General features: G+C 43.0%; 1 annotated feature.

The window, feature by feature from the left end:
• Positions 276-910: an enhancer, noted in NCBI's record as "OCT4-NANOG hESC enhancer chr4:155837105-155837739 (GRCh37/hg19 assembly coordinates)". NCBI's record gives its function as "activates a minimal SCP1, AML or CMV promoter by ChIP-STARR-seq in primed H9 embryonic stem cells {active_cell/tissue: H9 hESC(primed)}" and the evidence as "EXISTENCE:reporter gene assay evidence [ECO:0000049][PMID:30033119]".

The following is a 6,064-nucleotide window of genomic DNA, read 5'->3' on the forward strand; positions in this document are numbered from 1 at the left end:
CCAGCAGACAGAGTAAAATGTGAGATAAGCCTCTGGGAATGGATGAAATGTAATTAACAGTAGTAGGGAAGGTAAGAAGCAAAGTATGAGATTGACTGAGATCCTGTGTTCATGAGTAGTTGAAGAAGAAAGGTTGGATAAGAAGGGTAATGTCAAAATGGGGAAAGATTAGAGGGTAGTCCAGTTTTTATTTTCTTTTTTGGCTGGACAGACAATACATAGCTTCCTAATATGGCTTATCGAGACACTTCATAAACCTGTTCTCCTGCACATCACCTATGACCTCCTAAATCCCACAGCAAGTGGCCTTATCTCAGTTCTTCCCTTTGTCCCCATTTCTGTGGCATTTGAGCTCTGATCTACCGTCCCTTTGGGAAGATGTTATGGCCCTTAATAGAGCTAGTCCTGGAGATCGAGATTTGCAAAGGGAGAGTACTGATGCTGTGACAAGGCATAATATCACTGGGCGGGTGCTGAGTGCCCAGATGCAGAGAACTGAGATGGAACCTTGGAGGATGGAGGCATTTAGGGGGAAGGGAGGAGAGATCAGAGACAGGAAGGGAGTAAGGGGAGCTCAGAGACAGAAGTCAAAGGACACTGTGGGTGTTCATTCATGTGTTAAATCAGGCAAATCATGGCACTATTTGTGGGTGGCATTGGAAGTTGCCAGGGATGAAGGCAGTATCTAGGTGTGTTTGCGGAAATACTAAGGAGGACAGTAAATTACCATGGTAGGCAGTGGGAGAATAGGAGATATATTAGACTGCCTACCAACTTATTAACTCCATGGAAGCATCCATCTAGAAAATATTGATGATTCACTGAGATAATGATTGTCCTTGTTTTCCTTTGTTTTCTTTTTTATCTCTTCCTTCAGTTCCTCTTCCTTGCTTCCTGGGTAAATCAAATCACAAAATGATGAAACCTGCGTCTCATCTTGACAAAGCATAGGCCCTGTTGCCATGGGACTTCTGTGGTTTTCCATTATAAGAATTATTATAAAGATATGTGAGCAAGAAGAACAGATAAAAGGTCTCTTTAAAATGAACGTGTAACTACATACATAGTTTTTACAATGCTGTCTTCTTACCTGTGGGAAATGTTTGCACTTAAAGCACTTAGAAAAAAAAAACAATTATTTTAAGCAATGTTGCGTTTTTTTTTCCCTTGCAGGCTCTAGATGTAATGATAAGCTTTCTTTAATTTATGAATAGAATTTGAAAGAGAATTGTCTAGTAGAAGGAGTCACTTATGTACGCAAAATATATTTATTGAATTCATTTCATGTGCTAGTGAGTGTCCTAGACACTGGAGATACAAGGTGAACGTAACAAAAATGTTCATTGAACTTGCATTCTGGATCTTCTGTAAAGGTGACACAGACAATGAATTCTGGCCATATCAGCTGTTTTACTTAGGTAAGTTTTTAAATCTGCCTCTGTTTCCTCATCTGTGAAATAGGATTGTTGTGAAGATAAAAAATTAGAACACAGTTAAATACTCAACAAATGTGTTAAAGTCAGAGGCTAACATATTCAAAGGTGACCTGAAAACTATAAAGCAGCATAAGTAATCTAATTTGTTACTTACCCTGGGATGGACCACCTTAGAGGGTCATTTGGCTTATGACTTTTAGACTGTCTGCACTTGGCAGTGGGTGGAGGTGGTTAATTTTGTCTGACTGATAAACTGTTCTCTATTTCTAGTTCCCCTGTTGAGGATTCACCAGTCATTGCAAGTCCCTGGAAACCTACCACCTGCAGCTTGCTCACTGGGGAGTGATTTGGCTTGCTGTGTATAAAGGGTCTGAATGAATTTTAAAACTCTTGAATCTACCCTATATGATGTTTATGAGAAGCTAAAATTCATTTTGAACATTTACAAAAAGCTTTTGTTACTATTATGTTTAACCCTTTCTGCTGGAGCAAAATAAATGGAACGTTTCTGCTATCTCGCTCTGCTAAGTTTATCAGGTCCTGCTGGAGTGGGCGTATATAGATGAGGACCCCAGGAGCTATACAACAATAAAAGAGAAATCATTAGGTTTTTTTTTCTCCCGTGCACATTGTCCTATTATGTTCTGGCTGGAGGCTGGGGGAGTTAGATATCCTGCCTGTTCTTGGTAGAATTATTGCTTTGGGGCGCAAGGTCTGGGGAAACAATGACCCTATGCATGATACCTTCTGGTATTTGTGAATAACAGTCATATAAAATCTAATGAATATGTTGGCTTCTATAGTGAAATCAAGTCCAAACAAAGGATGCGGTGAAGCTTGAATAGAGTATGTGGAAGGTAGTGTAATATTATAGTCTTAAATCCAACAGCAAAAACAGCATCAGACTGGGCATAGTGGCAAGTGAGGGCCAAGATGGGAGGATTACTTGATGCCAGGAGTTCAAGACCAGCCTAAGCAACAAAGCGAGACCCCCATCTCTACAAAAAAAAATTTTTTTTTTTAATTAGCTGGGTGTGGTGATGTGCACCTGTCTTCCCACCTACTCGGGAGTCTGAGGCAGGAGGATCCCTTGAGTCCAGTAGTTCAAGGTTGCAGTGAGCTATGATCAAGCCATTGCACTCCAGCCTGGGCAACAAAGCAAGACCCTGTATCAAAAATAAACAAACAAATAAAGCAGTATCAGCATTAGTATTTTCATGTGCGTCCGTGTGAAGAGACCAGCAAACAGGCTTTGTGTGAGCAACAAGGCTGTTTATTTCACCTGGGTGCAGGAGGGCTGAGTCCGAAAAGAGAGTCAGCGAAGGGAGATAGGGGTGGGGCCGTTTTATAGGATTTGGGTAGGTAAAGGAAAAAGGGGGGTTGTTCTCTGGCAGGCAGGAGTGGAGGGTCATGAAGTGCTCGGTAGGGGAGCTTTTGAGCCAGGATGAGCCAGGAGAAGGAATTTCACAAGATAATGTCATCAGTTCAGGCAGGAGCAGGCCATTTTCATTTCTTTTGTGGTGGAATGTCATTAGTCAAGGCAGGAACAGGCCATATGGATGTGTACGTGCAGGTCACAGGGAATATGATGGCTTAGCTTGGGCTCAGAGGCCTGACATTCCTGTCTTCTTATATTAATAAGAAAGATAAATCAAAATAGTGGTAAAGTGTTGGGACAGCGAAAATTTTGGGGGATGGTATGGAGAAATAATGGGCGATGTTTCTCAGGGCTGCTTCGAGTGGGATTAGGGGTGGTGTGGGAACCTAGAGTGGGAGAGATTAAGCTGAAGGGAGATTTTGTGGTAAGGGGTGATATTGTGGGACTGTTAGAAGAAACATTAGTCATTTAGAATTATTGGTGATGGCCTGGATACGGTTTTGTATGAATTGAAAAACTAAACGGAATAAGAGAAGGAGAAAAACAGGTATTAAAGGTCTAAGAATTGGAAGAAGCTAGGACATCTAATTAGAGAGTGCCTAAGGAGATTCAGCATAGTTCTGCCAGCAAAGAGTATTTATTTACTTCAAGAGTTAAGAGTGGCAGTTTGGGGATAGCACCAGGAGATATCTGCTGTGATGGCTTGGAGAAACAGTGTAAACCGGCAGTGTAAACAAGAGCAGGGCATGTATGAGTAGTTGAGAACGGTGAATAGGAGTATGACTAGACAGAAGATAGTAGGGATGACAAGTTTTTCGGGGGTACAGTCCAAGTTGGTTTGGTGTCTGGAATGAGACTGGGGCTTAATAGAAAGGAGCGTCTATACAGGAGCTCAAATGGGCTGTACCCTGTACCATTCTAAGGACAGGCTTGAATTCTGAGAATGGAAAGTGGTAAAAGTATTGTCCAGTCCTCTTTAAGTTGGTGGCTGAGCTTGGTGAGGTGTGTTTTTAAAAGACCTTTAGTCTGTTCTACTTTTCCTGAAGACTGAGGACCATAAGGGATATAAAGGTTTCATTTGATACTAAGAGCCTGAAAAAATGCTTGGCTGATTTGACTAATAAAGGCTGGTCTGCTATCATGATGTATAGAGGTGGGAAGGCCAAATGGAGGAATTATGTCTGACAGAAGGGAAGAAATGACTGCAGTGGCCTTCTCAGACCTTGTAGGAAAGGCCTCTACCTATCTAGTGAAAGTGTCTACCTAGACTAAGAGGTATTTTAGTTTTCTGACTCGGGGCATGTGAGAGAGGTCAATTTGTCAGTCCTGGGTGGGGGCAAATCCTTGAGCTTGATGTGTAGGAAAGGGAGGAGGCCTGAAGAATCCCTGAGGGGTAGTAGAATAGCAAATGGAACACTGAGAAATGATTTCCTTGAGGATAGATTTCCAGGATGGAAAGGAAACGAGAGGTTCTAAGAGATGGGCTAGCGGCTTGTAACCTACATGGAAGAAGTTATGAAATGACGACAGAATAGAATGGGCCTGTGAGGCTGGAAGGAGATATTTTCCTTGGTCTAAGAACTATTTGCCTTGTGTGGAAGAGATTGATAGGTGGAAGTTTCAGCGGGGGAGTAGGTGGGAGTGACTGATGTGAAGGAGAAAAACTGGCTGTGAGGGACAGAAGTTGGAAAGCTAGCTGCTTGTCTAGCCACCTTATCAGCATAAGCGTTGCCTGGAGCAATGGGATCTGACACCTTTTGATGGCCTTTGCAGTGAATGACTCCAGCTTCCTTTGGAAGTAAAGCGGCCTTGAGCAGAGTTTTTATTAAAGAGGCATTAATGATGGAGGACCCTTGCGTAGTGAGGAAACCTCTTTCAGCCTATATAACAGCATGGTGGTGCAGAATATGAAAGGCATATTTAGAGTCAGTATAAATATTGATGCGTAGTCCTTTTGCAAGAGTGAGGGCTTGAGTTAAGGCAACTAATTTGGCTTGCTGAGAGGTAGTGGAGGGGGACAGAGTGGTAGCCTCAATAACAGATGTGGAAGATACTATTGCATAGTCTGCCTTTGCTGGTGAGTGGCGATTAGGCCTGGTGGAACTGCCATCAATAAACCAAATGTGATCAGGGTGAGAAACAGGGAAGAAGGAAATGTGGGGAAATGGGGTGAACATCAGGTGGATCAGAGAGATGCAGTAATGAGGGTCAGGTGTGGTATCCAGAATAATGTGGGAGGCTAGATTGAAGTTCGTGCCAGGAACAATGGTAATTGTGGGAGACTTAACAAAGAGTGAGTACAGCTGAAGGAGCCAGGGAGCGTCAGGTGTGAGGAAGAAAATAGATCTTGGAAGTTATGAGAAATGTAGAGAGTGAGTTGAGCACAGTTTGTGATTTTTAGGGCCTCTAAAAGTATTAAAGCAGTGGCAGCCGTTGCACGCAGACATGAGGGCTAGGCTAAAACAGTAAGGTCAAGTTGTTTGGGCCGAAAGGCTACAGGGTGCGGTTCTGGCTCCTGTGTAAGAATTCTGCCCGTACTAACCATGCCTAGGAAGGAAAGGAGTTGTTGTTTTATAGAAGGGATTGGGGTTTGGGAGATTAGCCGGACACGATCAGCAGGGAGAGCACATGTGTTTTTATGAGAATTATGCCGAGATAGGTAACAGATGAGGAAGAAATTTGGGCTTAACTGAAGTAATGGGGGCTGTCTGTGAAGACTTGCGGCAGTACAGCCCAGGTAATTTGCTGAGCCTGATGGATGTCAGGGTCAGTCCAAGTGAAAGCGAAGAGAGGCTGGGATGAAGGGTGCAAAGGAATAGTAAAGAAAGCATGTTTGAGATCTAGAACAGAATAATGGATTGTGGCGGGAGGTATTGAGGATAGGAGAGTATATGGGTTTGACACCATGGGGTGGATAGGCAAAACAATTTGGTTGATAAGGCACAGATCTTGAACTAAACTGTAAGCCTTGTCTGGTTTTAGGACAGGTGAAATGAGGGAATTGTAAGGGGAGTTTATAGGTTTTAGAAGCCCATGCTGTAGCAGGTGAGTGATAACAGGCTTTAATCCTTTTAAAGCATGCTATGGGATGGGATATTGGCGTTGAGCAGGGTAAGGGTGATTAGGTTTTAATTGGATGGTAATGGGCATGTGATCAGTTGCCAGGGAAGGAGTAGAGATGTCCCATACTTGTGGGTTAAGGTGGGGGGATATGAGAGGAAGACACAAAGGAGGCTTTGGGTTGGGGAGA

The sequence above is a fragment of the Homo sapiens genome, chromosome 4 (genome assembly GCF_000001405.40).
Source record: "Homo sapiens chromosome 4, GRCh38.p14 Primary Assembly".
In the NCBI taxonomy this organism is placed as follows: Eukaryota; Metazoa; Chordata; class Mammalia; order Primates; family Hominidae; genus Homo; species Homo sapiens.